This window comes from Homo sapiens, chromosome 1, assembly GCF_000001405.40.
Source record: "Homo sapiens chromosome 1, GRCh38.p14 Primary Assembly".
NCBI lineage: Eukaryota > Metazoa > Chordata > Mammalia > Primates > Hominidae > Homo > Homo sapiens.
Genome location: NC_000001.11, coordinates 63,423,418 through 63,440,240, shown reverse-complemented (window position 1 = coordinate 63,440,240; position 16,823 = coordinate 63,423,418). Strand labels below are relative to the sequence as shown.

The following is a 16,823-nucleotide window of genomic DNA, read 5'->3' as shown; positions in this document are numbered from 1 at the left end:
TCCTTTGGTACTTGCCCTAAGTTTTAACAAAATTAGTAGAAAATATTACCATGTCATTTGAATATATCATGAAAAATGAAAACTACATGAAAATCTGAAACAAAATATAACAAGTTAAGGTTGAAAATTTTCCACTGCGTGCAATGGCACAAGCCTTTAATCCCAGCTACTACTCTGGAGGCTGAAACAGGAGGATTGCTTGAGCCCAGGAGTTTAAGACCAGACTGGGCAACACAGCAAGACACCTATCTCAGAAAAAAAGAAAATAATTCACTTTCCACTTAGAGAAATTTTAGATTCACCTTTTTAAAATGAAAGGTTTTTAAAAACTGTTACTATAAATTATATAAATTACCTTCATTAATTATGTTCTTCATACTGTTTAAGAAATTTATTCTGATACAGTGCTTATAATAGGATGTTACCAAAAATATACTAAAAAAGGATTATTATAGCATTGAAAACTAACCTTAGGTTATAAGCCAAAACATTTTATAAAGTAATCTATGTTAGTCAGGTAATACAGAGTTAAGAAGTAGATTGGTTTCATATATAATTCAAGTTATATAGGTATGTGCTTAATGCTATTAAACCAGTTACTGTATGTTTGACCTCTTGATATACTAAGCTTTTGCCTTTTAGAACAGCTGGGTCTGCTGAGAATCATTTCCCAGTTCTTTTCATTGTAGATCAGATGACTCTCACTTTATCACCCTTGGAGGCCACATGAAGGACAAAGCAGAAAGATCCACACACACAACTAATGTTTATATGAGGGGAGGGGGAGTTGCAGGGGATATACTTGCCCTGATCTTCCAATGAACATAACAGAAGAGAGACCAATTGAGACTTGAAACCATTGCGTTACTTTAACCATTATTTAGTTATATCCTATCCATCTCTTTCTCTCTGTTGAACAGAGAGGTTCCTTTGGCTGCCCTGACTTTTGTAAATGTTTCACTCAATTTGTTGTGGTTTATCATTTGGACAGAATGCTACATTGGGGATTTTTCGCCCCCACTAAGTCCTCAAGGGAAAATGACTTCTGTATGCCTCATATATGATACATGAACATACACCCTATTCTCTTCATTTTAAGAAGCAAACCTAAGTTTTTTGGCAGCTGAGAAAACTGCATTTCTCAGAAATACCTCCTCCATCTAAAACGTACTTGAACATAACTTTGAAGGGCTTATTTTTTGACAGGTATATTAATGAAGAAAGTGAGGAATCTATCTTTAATATTTTTGCATAACCTATATGTATTTATATGAAAACATCCCTATAGCCCTGAGTTTAGCTAAGAGAAATGCTTTGGACCTTGCCTACTTCTGTGATAATTCATCACTGGATATTTTTGATATTTTGCTTTTTTTTGAGATGGTGTCTCACTGGTCTCAAGCGATCATCCTGTGTCAGCCTCTCAAATACAGACCGCTGTGCCTGGCCTCTGTTTCTGGTATTTTGTTTTGGTATTTTGGAACCTAATCCCTCTAAGTTCAATATAAACTCTTAAACCGGTTTTTAATAGATACGAGGGATACTTATAAGATAACTGCTACAAGTCTCTATAAAAACTATAGTGCAACTCAGTATGATTAGATTAAATCATCTGAAAAATGATTTAAGAATTTACCTATATGGTACCTTACAGAATTTACCTAGATGATACCTTGAATCAGGTGCATTTCATTTTACTAATATATGTACATAATACTTTTATTTCCAAATAATAAAGTTATGCTACTCCAATTATTTATAACTTCCTCATCATTTATCTAAGTCAACATTCTATGTTAAACACAAGTGTACTATTACAAAAAATATTTTTAAAAATAAAGCTACACCAGCCAGCCAAGATGCTGACATTTGGGCACAGTGATTACAGATGGTGACCATGGACAGCAATGTTCTTGCTGATTCGGCAGTGATTCAAGGCTGCTATTCTGCGTTGACCTGCCCTTTGAGTCTTTATGCACATTTGCTTTGAGAAAGAAACCTTTCTAGATTTTTGCTTTGTCTAAACCCACTTCCTTTACCAGACTTAGAAACACATACCTTCTTATATCAGCCTGTGACTGTCCGTGTCTAGAACCAGTTTTTTTTTGTATGTGGTTTGATTTGCACTATATTAAAATATACCACCACTTAATATAGTTTAATGGCTATCTTATGAAAGAAGAAATATATTCCTTAAAAAATGTTGATGGGAAAATGATTATCTTTATTACAGAGGCTAAAGAAAACATATCTTTATATGAGAAACTGCAACATGGATATCATGTATTATTTTTACCAGTTGAATACTATAATAAATATTGGCTTCTGCTAATACAGGGTGATACAGTATTAATAGGATGAAGTTAACATGAATCAATGCTCTGGCAGTGGTAACCCTGAACCATGTCAATAATAATATATATATAATATAATGTTTAATTAAACAGAATGGTTCTGGAAGTTTAGAACCAGTGATTATGTGTAATTTAGAAGACTTCACTCAAACCACTTAAAGTTAAGTTAAAGCTTACATTTAAATTCAGGAAAATTCATTTTTAATTGTATTAAAATATGCATTCTTGGAAATAAATAAGATTATGGTTTATTTGCCTTGTTAAAACAATCAAATTTGCATGTGTAATAAGGCATATTCAAACTTCAAGCAGTTTAAATTGCCTTCTCAGTAATTAAAAAGATTATCACAAATTTAATTCCCTAAGATATGACTTCTAAACAGTGAAATACACACTACTTGCATTCTAAAATGTAAGTTTGAATACCAAAATTAGTGATTTCCATTAAAAAGAAGGGGCTCAATTCTCCCATGAAGCTCACTATATGGTCTGATGAAGGAAGTAGGTTTAGACAAAGCAAATATCAAGAAATATTTCTCAGTTTTTTAAAGACATTTAAAAAGTGCATTTCCTGAGTAAACAATGGGATTAAGGACATGTTTCTCTTTTTTCCCCACTTGAATAGCTGTGAATAATAAAACCACATGTTTTGGCCAAGCAGTACTTAGACAAGCCTCCATTGGTCTTTGGTCTCCATATACATTTATTTTGTGTAGACAACAATGACTTTTCACCATTTCCTTTCCTGTGGTTCCATGGTTCTCAAAATGGTAATTTCATTTATACATAGCAAAAAGTTCACAAAACCTTTCAGCACTGTTCACATTTTCACATTTGTTTAGGAAACAATTTGTTTAGGAATACAGCTAGCTGATTTTCTTCTGATTTCTTCCACTTTTGGAATCCCACATAATAATAATGTTAAAGTATACCAAGAAGAACAGGAAGTTCAAGCAAGATACAAAACACACCAATACAGAAAACAAGTCCGGTAGTTTCTGAGGAGGATCCAGTGTGACAGTCATCAACGTCAGAAGCACCATAGTGATGACTGAGATAAGAAACTGCAAGGAAAAAAAGGATTACTGAGTAGTATAAAAGGTGAAATTTAAATGTGCTGGAAACATTGACTTGTAGCTATTAAATGAGCAGAATTAAAGGTGAGGGTTGAGGGTCTAATTTATTCTGGTGTATCTCAACTTTGACTTCCTATTAGAATCATATGAGGAGTTTTTAAAATCTCAATGCCCACATCACACCCCAGACCAATTAAATCAGGCCTCAGTACTTTTTAAAGCTCTCCAAGTGATTCCCATGTGTAGCCAAAACCTGAGGACCCCTGTCTTCTTATACTTCCTACCACCAAGGCACTGAACAAAGGTATCTGGGACAAATATTAATGCTAGTCAGGGTTAAATTTATAACATCCCCTGGGGTCCAACAGGATATAAAATTCTAAGCTAATGGGTACAAATGTATAGGTAGCTAGAAGAAATAAAACCTAGTGTTTGGCAGGTCAGTAGGCTGAATATAGTTAACATTAATGTACATTTTAAAATAGCTAGAAAATAATAAGTTGAATGTTCCTAGCATAAAGACATATTTTTAAGGTAATAAATAGCCCAGTTACCCCGATTTGATCTTCATGCATTACATGAATGAATAAATGAATCAAATTATCACATATACCCCCAAAATATATACATCTATTCTGTATCAATTTTTAAAATTCTAAGCTAACCTTGAGAACCCATCTGTGAAAAAGTTTTCCATGGCAAATGGAAAATTACATTTCATATTCGCTAAATGCTTTCAATGAGTAAAGCACACGAAGGCACATGAAAGAAAATGAGGTCCTCTGGCCTCAAAGAGTTTTCCATCTACTGAGGGGAATGTTAAATAAAATCACAAAGTCACACTGGCTTAAATACCAAGCTGAGTAGTAAAAATAATTAGCACATTTATTGTAGTTGTGTGGTCATCAGTTAGTGTGGTCTTCTCTAGGCCAATGTGCTATACAATAGAACTTCCTGCAGTAATGAAAATGTTTTGTCTGCACTCCAGTATAGTAGCTGCTAACCACATGTGGCTATTGGGCATTTGAAATGTACTTACTGTGACTGAGGAACAGAATTTTTATTTAAATTTAATAAGTTTAAATTTATATATATGTCTAGTGGCTACCGTACTGGACAGACTGTGACTCTAGACTGTGAGCTCCTTTAAGACAAAGACCAGCAAGATCTTACTCATTTTATCCCTAGCACAGTACACAGGTATACAAAAGCAGTATAAATAAATGTAGAAAGCAGTGAGAAACAGTAGTGACTTCCATGAAGTGGGTGGGACACAGAACCCTAAAGGATGCCTTAACTGCTGGCTACATTATGACAGTATTGGTAAGATCTAAATAGAGAGTAATGCAGTGATCATTCCAAATGGAAAAGCGAGGATAGGCGCCAAGAAAGCTTACAAGCAGATACAAACAAAGGCTGCCAGTGTCGTTAAAGGAAAAATTCCTGAGGCAACCTTAGTGGGAAGTGCAAACATCTGGAATGAAATCTTTAAAATAAAAGTTTCAAACTTAAGAAATATGGGACTGGTTGAAATGTCATAATACCACGATCTTGAGTCAGTGTTAAACAGAACAAAAACCCTCTCTTGCTCCAACTATTACCCCATTTGTCTGCTCCTATTTACACTTGTTTCCCAAAACAGTTGCCTATAAACATGCTGTGTCCAGTCTTCATCCCATTCACTAGTGAACCCATACCAATTGGGCTTTCACCCTAATCACGATGAAACTGCTATAGTCAAACATCCATAATGACCTCCAGTGTAGTAAATCCCATGGTCAGTTCTTACTGCCTTACTTGATTCTCTCATTAGCATTTGAAATCACTCTCCTCTCACTGAAACACTTCGTTCACTTGGCTTCCATGACATCATACTCTTCTGGTTCTCCTATCTCACCCAGTTAATTCTTAGACATCTTTGCTGGTTCCTCATGTCCCCTACGTCTGCATTCTGGGGCTTCGTACCTATTCCTCTTATTAATCTATACTCATACCCTTAGTGAGTCATCCAGTAATATGACTTTAATTACCAACTATATGTAAAGACTCAACTTCGTCTCCAGCCTGGCCCTTTCCCCTAAACCAGGGTTGTCCAATCTTTTGGCTTCCCTGGGCCACACTGGAAAAAGAAGAATTATCTTGGGCCACACATAAAATACACCAACACTAACGATAGCTGATGAGTTTTTAAAAATATCGCAAAAAAACTCCAGGTTTTAAGAAGTTTATGAATTTGTATTGCACTGCATTCAAAGCCAGCTTCAGTTGCAGATTGGACAAGCTTGCGCTAAACTCTGGACTCATATATCCAGGTACTTCTTAATATCTCTACTTGGATATCTAATAGGTATCTAAAACTAAACATGTAAAAAACTCTTGGTCTCCTCATACTCCCGACTGCCCCCACCACACACAAAGTTCCTTCAACATGCTTCCTCCAATTCGGTAAATGGCAACCCCACCCATTCAGTTATGTATGCCAAAAACCTTGGAGTCATCTTGAACACCTCTCTTTCACAACCCCAGCAATTCCTGTTGGCTCTACCTTCAAAATATATAAAAAATCTGACCATTTCTAACCACTTCCACTGCTACCCTGGTCCACAGCACCATCATCTCATGGATTCCATTATCCACAATCTGTTCTCCACATAGCTACCATAGGGACCTTTTAAAAATGTAAGTCAGATTCTAGTCCCATTATAAGAAACTACACTGTTACCTCTCTAATCTTAGGTCCTATTATTTCTTTCCCTCACCCAGCTCCAATCACTATGACCTCCATGATGTTCACTGCATTTGCAGTTTTTCTCTTCTAGGATGTTCTACCCTCAATTATCTGCAGTTTACTTCCTTTGGTTCTTTGCTCAAGAAAGCCCTGCCACTTTAAAATTGCATTCATCCCTCCTGCATATCATATCGATTTCTCCCTTGCTTTGTTGTTCTCCATAGCACTTATCACCCTCTGACATGCCATATATTTTACATATGCTGGTGCTGGATTTCTCCACTAGAATGCAACCTCCATGGGAGCAGGGATTTCTGTTAGTTTTGGTCACTACCGTATCCTCAGCCTCCAGAACAATGCTTGCATATAGTAAGTGCTCAAAAACTATTAAAGAACAAATAAATCTGGGAGCCCATAGCGGTCCTCACCTTAAGATTACTGGACCAGATTGTGAATATCACAATAGGGCTAGATTTTGACATACACTCAGGAATCTGGGCCTATACTAACAAAAAATGAACTTTATATCTACTTTCCATTTGAACCCCTGAGTAAAGTTAATCCTCTCCTTGTCTTTCCTGTTCACCTCTTAACTTCCTACCTCCCACACCACTATCCTCCATGGTCATTACCTAAAGTGCAAAACCCTCAGGACACCCATTCAACTCTGCCCTGAGAATACCTGCCTTGTCTTCCTACAAGATCTAAATATAAAATATCTCCTTTGAAACCTTCCCCTACACTCCCCTAATAGAGTTAGTCATTCTTTTCTCTTTGTTATCTGGGTACTTTGGGCAATCCTCTATGTAGTACTCAAAAATATAAATAAGTATAGCCTGTTGGGCTGGGCGCGGTAGCTCACGCCTGTAATCCCAGCACTTTGGGAGGCTGAGGCGGGTGGATCACGAGGTCAGGAGTTCGAGACCAGCCTGGCCAATATGGTGAAACCCCGTCTCTATTAAAAATACAAAAATTGGCAGGGTGTGGTGGCACGTGCCTGTAGTCCCAGCTACTCAGGAGGCTGAGGCAGAAGAATTGCATAAACCCAGGAGGTTGAGGTTGCAGTGAGCCAAGTTCGTGCCATTGCACTCCAGCCTGGGCAACAAGAGTGAAACTCCATCTCAAAAAGAATAAAATAAAAAATAAAAATTAGGCAAGCATGATGGTGCATGCCTATAATCCTAGCTACTCAGGAGGCTGAGGAAGGAGGATCACTTGGGCCCAGGAGTTCCAGGTTGCAGTGAGTTAAAAATGCACCACCGCACTCCCGCCTAGGCAACAGAGTGAGATCCTGTCTCAACAACAACAACTTCATAACATTTGTAGTAGTTGTCAAATATTCCGTGGAGCTTATATACTTATTCATGTATCATTTTTCAACTACTGGATAATTGAGCTGCCTCTAATTTTTCATTATAATAATTAGATGAATATTCATTCATTCAACAAACAAAAATCAGAGCACCTATTCTTTGTGAGGCACTGATAGATGCTACAGATAAAATGGCATGTATAAAATGCAGAGTTCTTGACCTCAAATACATTGCAATCTAGCATTTTAGCCTTGAATGTAATGTGATATGCCTTAAATATATGAACTTTATGAGTAGACAAAGACGTCACATGAAAACTACATGTTAGTGTCTCTTATGAATATAAATGCAAAAATCATCAACAGAATACTGTCAAACTGAAGCCAGTGGCAGATAAAAAGAATTATACACCATGATCCAGTAGGATTTATCCTAGGAATTCAAGGTTAGTGTAACATACAAAAATCAATCAATGAAATATGTCATATAATAGAATAAAAGAAAAAAAACACACATGACCAAAGATGCAGAAAAAGAATTAGACAGAATCCAGCATTTTTTCATGAGAAAAACATGTAAACTAGGAATTGAAGAGAACTTCCTCAACCAGATAAAAGACATCTATTTTAAAAAGCCCACAGTTAACATCATAGTTAATGGTGACAGACCAGATGCTTTCCCTCTAATATCAAGTAAAAGAGAAGATGTCCACTCTTGTTACCTGTATTCAACACTGTCTTATAGGTCCTAGGGCAATTAGGCAAGTAAGAGAAATAAAAGATAAAAGTCATCCACATTAGAAAGGAAGAAGTAAAACTCATGGTTTGCAGATTACATTATCTTGTATATTGAAAACTGTAGGAAATCCATTAAAAACCTATGCCGAAGAATACAAGTTGAATATACAAAAATATATTTGTATATAGTAGCAATGAACATTATGAAAATGAAATTAAGAAAACAATTCCTTTACAATAGCATCATAAAGAATTATGCTTTAGGATCATTCGTTATACTTAAGAATAAATTTAACAAAAGAAGTCCAAAACTTATACACTGAAAACTACAAAACATTGTTGAAAGAAATTAAATATCTAAATAAATGGAAACACATCCTGTGTTTGTTCATTGGAAGACTAAATATTAAGACGGCAATATTCATGGTGAAACTCCGTCTCTAAAAAAATTAGCCGGGTGTGGTGGCACAGGCCCATAGTCCCAGCTATTAAGGGGGCTGAGGTGGGAAGACTGCTTGAGCCTGGGAGGCAGAGGTTGCAGTGAGCCAAGATCACACCATTGCACTCCAATCTGGGCAACAAAGTGAGACCTTGTCTCAAAAAAATAAAGCAATATTCCACAAATTGATATGCAGAATCGACTCAGTCCCTATCAAAATCTCAGCTGAGTTTTGGGAGAAAACTGATGAACTTCTAAAAATAATATGAAAATAAAGGGATGTAAAATAGATAAAACAATCTTGTAAAAGAACAAAATCAGTGGACTTGCATTTTCAATTTCAAAACTAACTACAAAGCTACAGTAAACAAGACAGTATGGCAGTGGCATAAGGATAGACATATAGATCAATGGAACAGAACTGAGATTCCAGAAATAAACCCTTACATTTAAGAACAACTGATTTTCAACAAGAGTGCCAAGACAATTCAATGGAACTGAAATAATTGAATAAAGTCAGACTCCTACCTCACACCATATACAATATTAACTCAAAGCAACTCAAAGGCATAGATTTAAAAACTATAAAACTCTTAGAAGAAAATACAGGGGTAAATATTTGTGACCACTGGTTATACAATGGTTTCTTAGATATGACACCAAAAGCACAACAAAAGAAAAAAATAGATATACTGGATGTTATCAAAATCAAAACTTTTCTGCTGCAAATGATACCATCAAGAAAGTGAAAAGGCAACACACAGAATGGGAGAGGATATTTGCAAGTTAAATATCTGGTAAGGAACTCATATCAAGAATATATATTAAAAAAACTCTTACAACTCAAAAAGACAACCCAGTTTAAAATGGGCAAAGGATTTGAATAGGCATTTCTCCAAAGAAGATATACAAATGGCCGATAAGCACATGAAAAGATGTTCAACATCATTAGTCATTAGGGAAATGCAAGTCAGCACTCCAATGAAATACCACCTCACACCCACTAGGATGGTTATAATTAAAAAGACAACAAATGCTGTGAAAGATGTGAAGAAATTAGAACCCTCACACATTGTTGGTGAGAATGAAGAATTGTGCTGCACTTTGGAAAACAGTTTGGCAGTTTCTGAAGATGTTAAACATAGAATTACCATATGATCTAGCAATTCTACTCCCAGGTATACACATAAGGGAAATGAAAACATATGTGCACTCAATACCTTGTAAACAAATGTTCACAACAGCATTATTATATTCATAACACTAAAAAAGTAGAAACAACTTCATGTCCATTAATTCATGAATGGATAAACAAAATGTGGTATATCCATATAATGGAATATAATTTGGTAATAAAAAGGAATAAAGTACTGATATATGCTATAACAAATGAACCTCAAAAATATGCTAAGTGACTGGGCGCAGTGGCTCATGCCTGTAATCCCAGCACTTTGGGAGGCCAAGGCCGGCAGATCATGAGGTCAGGAGTTCAAGAACAGCTTGGCCGACATACTGAAATCCCATCTCTACTAAAAATACAAAATTTAGCTGGGCATGGTGGCGCATGCCTGTAGTTCCAGCTACTAGGGAGGCTGAGGCAGGAGAATTGCTTGAATCCAGGAGGCAGAGGTTGCAGTGAGACAAGATCATGCCACTGCACTCTAGCCTGAGTGACAGAGCAAGACTCTGTCTCAAAAAAATAAATAAATACACACACACACACACACACACACACACACACACTAAGTGAAAGAACCGAGTCATAAAGACCACAATTTTATTATCCCATGTTATGGACTGAATTAAAATTCATATGTTGAAGCCCTAACCCCCAATGTGACTGTTATTTGGAGATATAGCCTTTTAGGAGGTAAATAAGGTTAAATTAGATGATAAGAATGGGGCCCTAATCCAGTAGTACTGGTGTCCTTACAAGAAAAGGAAGAGACAACAGAGGTCTCTCTCCATGTGTGACACATAAAGCAGAGACCTTCTACAAGCCAGGAAGAGAGGCCTCACCAGAAACCAACCCTGATGGTAGAACCTTGATCTTGATCTTGAACTTTTAGTCTCTAGAACTGTAAGAAAATAAATTTCTGTTGTATTTTGTTATGGCAGCTATCACAGACTAATACATTCCATTTATATGCAATGTCCAAAGTAGGCAAATCTAAAGAGGCAGAAACTGGCTGTCCAAGGAAGGGAGTTAGGAGTGAGAATAGAATTGGGAATGAATGCTAATGGGTACAGAATTTCTTCTGGGAGTGACAAAATAATGTAAAATTAGATGATGGTGATAGTTGTGCAAATCTGTTTACATACTTAAAACCACTAAGTTGTATACTTTAAATGAGTGGATTTATGTGAATTATATCTCAAAAAGGTATAAAAGAAAATCACTACTTCAATAATTTTTTAAAATAGTGACATGCTGAAAAATGTGTCATTTCTTAAAAATTGAACTTACCAAATATTGTATAATTCTGGAAAGAAATGTAAAACATGGAAGATATTTCCTCACAGAAATGGAAAAGGATTTCAACTGCAGTTCTTCTTCAGAAGTCTTTTCAAATATTGAAAAGGAAGTTACACAAGCTATAAAAAATGCCATTGTTGTCACAACAGAGGGCATTAGGAGTTCATCCTTCAATAGAAGAGGTAGCATACTGTAAAGGAAAATTTTTAAAAATCACAAGAGAATTATCAATTCAAACCATAACCACTTCATAAAAAAGTTTTAAATTAGTTTACAAGAATTATACTGAAAATATATGGAAATTGATATGACTTACCTAAATGTTGACACAAGTAAAAACCAAGTAGACATAAAAGGAATTTCACTTAAAACTAAGCAGACTGGTCTAAAATCGTAAAGAAAAAAATATTTTAATATTACAGAATATAACTTCAACTCCTAATTGTAAAAAATATAAATACATTTTATCTGTCTGATTTTCAGCGGTAGCTTAAAAACAGCCAGGAAGGTCTTCATATGGACTACTGATTCATTTTGTTAACAGTCCAGACTAAATTAGCCTAGACACAGGCACAGAGGTGTCAACTCCTCATAATAATTGGAAAACTGCTGCTTCCAGTATGCCGTTAATGGAACTTTTTTTCTCTATCATACAAACAAGTAGCTTAAGAAAAGGATCAGATAAACAAATCTGAGAAGGCTTTGTCACATATTTCGTAGTACTTGGTAAATATGAATTCCCAGTATTGTTTTCAAACATCTCTTTTATGTTCTTTCATGTTACATATTACTCCGCTAAGTTAAAACTAAAGATATGGCAGACAACATCATCATGCCACTGGAGAGGACAAGAGAGACAAGAGGATAAAGGAAAACAAATTGATAATAATAAAATTAAAAGGAGGAAGAAATTAGTAGGAAGAGCTACATAAAAAGGGAAATAGTATAGGAACAGGAAGCACAATGCCAATAAACAGAACCACTGGCTTTATCAAAGAATTGTTTAGGGGCCAGGCACAGTGGCTCAGGCCTGTAATCCCAGTACTTTGGTAGGCCAAGGCTGGTAGATCACTTGAGGTCAGGAGTTCGAGACCAGCCTGGCCAACATGGTGAAACCCCATCGCTACTAAAAATACAAAAAAAATTAGCTGGGCTTGGTGGTGCGTGCCTGTAATCCCAGCTACTTGGGAGGCTGAAGCAGGAGAACTGCTTGAACCCGGGAGGAGGAGGTTGCAGTGAGCTGAGATCACACCACTGCACTCCAGCCTGGGCAACAGAGTGAGATGACAGGGCGAGACTCCATCTCCAAAAAAAAAAAAAAAAAAAAAAAGTTGTTTAGGGTCATAGCTCTAAGCCCTGTAACCTCCTTACCACAACTCCTGCTCCAGTACCTTTGGGATTCAATTGTGGCAATGCTCAAAGAAGGAGCATTGCTAGTGTGAAGCCCTGAGTCCTGGTCCCCATGTTTGCCCTTTATTTACTGTGTGACCTTGAGCAAATGATTAATCTATTTTCTTAAGTGGAAATGGAAATAATAATAATACCCTGTATTCTTAAATAGTTGAAAGAACTCTTTGCAGGTATCATCTAGTGTTTACTTTTTTAAAATACAATAAACTTTCCTAATGATGGTGGTTGTTGAATAATTGTTATCATTATTTTGAATCTCTTTATTTTAAAAAGTGCTCTATAAAGATTTGGGCATTCTCCCCCTTTCCCAGAAGGATGACTTTTTCCTATGTCAACTAATATATGAGATTTAAACCCTGGGATTATAAACTGAAAACTACTAAAAGAAATTACTAGGCCGGGCGCAGTGGCTCACACCTGTAATCGCAGCACTTTGGGAGGCTGAGACAGGCGGATCACGAGGTCAGGAGTTCAAGACCATCCTGGCCAACATGGTGAAACCCCGTCTCTACTAAAAATACAAAAAAAAAAAAAAAAAAATTAGCTGGACACGGTGGTGCGTGCCTGTAATCCCAGCTACTCAGGAGGCTGAGGCAGGAGAATTGCTTGAACCAGGGAGTCGGAGGTTGCAGTGAGCCGAGATCGTGCCACTGCACTCCAGCCTGGTGACAGAGCAAGACTCCATCTCAAAGAAAGAAATTACTAGAGGACTTTCCATTTCACTGCTTGAGAATGGACGCATATTAATAGCAAGCTCATTGAAGGTGCTCAATAAATACTGTTTTCTCTTTCTGGTTTAATTCTTTCCCATTTATGCATTCAATATTTATTTACCAAACACAAGCATTGACAAAAAATGTATTACAGCCGGCGCAGGGGCTCACAACTGTAATCCTGGCACTTTTGGAGGCCAAGGTGGGAGGATCACTTGAGCCCAGGAATTCAAGACCAGCCTAGAGAATATAGCAAGACACCACCTCCACAAAAAATTTACAAATTAGCCTGGCATGGTGACGCACGCCTGGGGTACTTGTTACTTGGGAGGCTGAAGTGGGAGGCTCACTTGAGCCCAGGAGTCCGAGGCTGCAGTGAGCTATGACCATGTCACTTTGCTCCAGCCTGGGTGACTAAGTGAGACCTTGTCTCTTAAAAAAACTTACTACATATAAGCACTGCTCTGAAAGGAATACAAAGATGATTATAACTCAGCTCCTAACCTCAAAGTACTTACAATTCATCACCAAACAGTGAAATGCCCTACATCCTCAACCTCTTCTCTGAACCCCTCCCTTTACCACCTTGTTTGAAACAATGCCTGGCTCTCTCCTCTGAGGACAGTACTGCCCTCTGCCCTCTCAACTGTGCCTGTTTTTGTTGTTTCCACAGTCTTCAAGTGACTTGGCCTGATGGTGGGAAGTAACCTCCTTGATCTTCCTCACTACTTTCCTACCAGTTCTCCCTCTCTCCACCCTAATAATCTCCAGCTTTGAAACTCTTCTCATCACACTTTATCCCCGATTATTCCCCATCTTGTAAATACTGACCAACCACAGGGCCGCTTCCTCCATTACCCAAAGATTTCAACTCCTTTCTCACTATCACTCTCTACAAACTGACTTAATTCTTGGCAATTTTAACATATACATAGATCTTCCCTCTCATTTGCTATAACGCCTCTCTTCTAGTGATCTCATCTTTAATCCTGTCCCTTACGGTCATACTTTAGACTGCACCTCCTCCATGACTCTCACCACTATCTCCTGCCTTTTGGATATTCCAACTCCGACAATCTTTTGATCCTACCGAGATCTTCAATCCATTGTTCCTACCACGTTTTCACTTTCCCTCATCGCTTCGATGGCCTTTTCCCTTTTTACCTACCTTAAATTCTAAGGTCAATCATTATAATCACTCCCATACATTCACTCTTAAGCCCTCAAGCAAGGGAGTTATCCTCACCAGACAAAACCATAAACCTGGAAATACTCAACTCTCCACCAGTGCTTACTCCAACCATACTGAACAACTGCTCAAGAGAAAAACAGCTACCCATACTAACTGGTCTCACTTTAAATACATGATCATGATATTCAAGTGCCCTGCAATTACTATATATTTCCCTGATCTGTTTACACTCTGTCTCTCCTTAGAAAATGTTTCACACTTCTCCCTCCTACTTCCAACAGCTTCAACCCACTCTTGGCTAATGACTTTCCCTCTCACTTCAATAAGAAAACTGAAGCAGTTAAAACAGAACTTTCACAGATGCCCACCATCACATTTACTCCCTTCCCAGCATCTCTACCAATATAGCCTGTTCACCCCTTTTACTAAAGAGGAACTCTTCACACATCTGTCCAATGCCAATTCTTCCATTTGTGCTCTAGATCCTACCCCATCTCCCTTTCCCAATGACAGTGCTCCAGCAGCTCCTCCTCTTGAGATCCTGTACCATCAGCTTTCCTTCTCTGCTGATCATTCCCCTGCCTTTATTGCTCCTCTCTTAAACAAACAAACCTATCTTGACCCCATTTTCTCTACCAGTTATTGCCCTATTTTTCTGCTTCCTTTTTCAACAAAACTCCTCTGAAGAACAGTCTACCTTCCTCACACCATATATAAAAACTCAACTGGGCACAGTGGCTCACGCCTGTAATCCCAGCACTTTGGGAGGCCAAGGCAGGCAGATCACTTGAGGTCAGGAGTTCGAGACCAGCCTGACCAACATAATTAAATCCCTGTCTCTACTAAAAATACAAAAATTAGCCAGCTGTTGTGGCGGGCAACTATAGTCCCAGCTACTTGGGAGGCTGAGGCAGGAGAATCTCTTGAACCTAGTAGGTGGAGGTTGTAGTGAGCTAAGATTGCACCACTGTACTCTAACCTCGGTGACAGACCGAGGCTCTGTCTCAAAAAAAAAAAAAAAAAAAAAATTAACTCAAAATGGATCAAAGACATAAATATAAGAGCTAAATCCATAAAACTCTTAGAAGGAAAATGAGGGTAAATCTTTATTTCCTTGAGTTTGGCACTGGTTTCTTAGATATATATCAAAAGTACAATCAAAAGACAAGATAGGTAAATTAGACTTCATCAAAATTAAAAACTTTTGTGCATCAAAAGAACACTATCAAGAGGGTAAAAAAGACAACCCAAAGAATGGGAGAAAATATTTGCAAATCATATATCTGATAAAGGCTAGTACCCAGGATACATAAAGAACTCCTAAAACTCAAAAAATGACAACCCAATTAAAAATTGGGCAAAACGGCCAAGCGCAGTGGTTCACGCCTGTAATCCCAGCACTTTGGGAGGCCGAGGCGGGTGGATCACGAGGTCAGGAGTTCAAGACCAGCCTGGCCAACATAGTGAAACCCCATCTCTACTAAAAATGCAAAAATTAGCCAGGTGTGGTGGCACGCGCCTGTAGTCCCAGCTACTCGGGAGGCTGAGGCAGGAGAATCACTTGAACCCGGGAGGCGGAGGTTGCAGTGAGCTGAGACCGTGCCATTGCATTCCAGCCTGGGTGACAGAGCGAGACTCCGTCTCAAAAAAAAAATAGGCAAAGGATTTAAATAGGCTTGTCTCTGAAGAAGATAGACATATTGTGCCAACAAGCACATAAAGAGATGTTCAATATCATTAGTAATTAGGGATATGCAAATCAGAATCACGATGAGATACCACTCATATCCACTAGCATGGCTATAATCAAAATGATGGAAAATAACAAGTGCTATCAAGGATATGGAGAAATTGAAGCCTTCATATATTATTAGTGGGAATGTTAAGTGGTGCAGCCACTATGGAAAAGTCTGGTGGTTCCTCAATAAGTTAAATACAGAATTGCCATGTGACTCAGCAATTCTACTCCTGAGTATAGACTCAAACAAAAACTTGTACATGAATATTCACAGTGGCACTATTCACAACAGCCAAAACATGGTAACAACCCAATGTCCATCAACTGAGGAATGATGAACAAAATGTAGTGTATCGATACAATGCAATACTATTCAGGCATAAAAAAGAATACAGTTCTGATACAACATGGATGAACCTTGAAAATATTAAGAAGCTAGACACAAAAGACCACATATAATATGATTCCATTTATATAAAATATCCAGAATAGACAAATCCACAGAGATTTGCAGAAAGCAGATTAGTGGTTAGAGGGACTCGGGGAAGGGAAAATGGAGAGGGACTGCTTTGGGTATGGGATTTCCTTTTGCGGTGATGAAGATGTTCTGGAGGTAGATAGTGGTGATGCTTGCACAACAGTGTGAA

General features: G+C 37.6%; 1 protein-coding gene across 1 annotated transcript in view; it reads right to left on the bottom strand.

Moving 5' to 3' along the window:
• ALG6 (ALG6 alpha-1,3-glucosyltransferase) overlaps nucleotides 1,688-16,823 on the bottom strand; it is a 70,927-nt gene continuing 55,791 nt past the window's right edge. The window contains exons 13-15 of the mRNA NM_013339.4: nucleotides 11,440-11,508; nucleotides 11,115-11,313; nucleotides 1,688-3,418 (exon numbers count right to left, since the gene is read on the bottom strand). Of these exons, the coding sequence (NP_037471.2) occupies nucleotides 3,221-3,418; nucleotides 11,115-11,313; nucleotides 11,440-11,508 (466 nt within the window). The 3' untranslated portion in view covers nucleotides 1,688-3,220. The remainder of the gene's footprint in view (nucleotides 3,419-11,114; nucleotides 11,314-11,439; nucleotides 11,509-16,823) is intronic.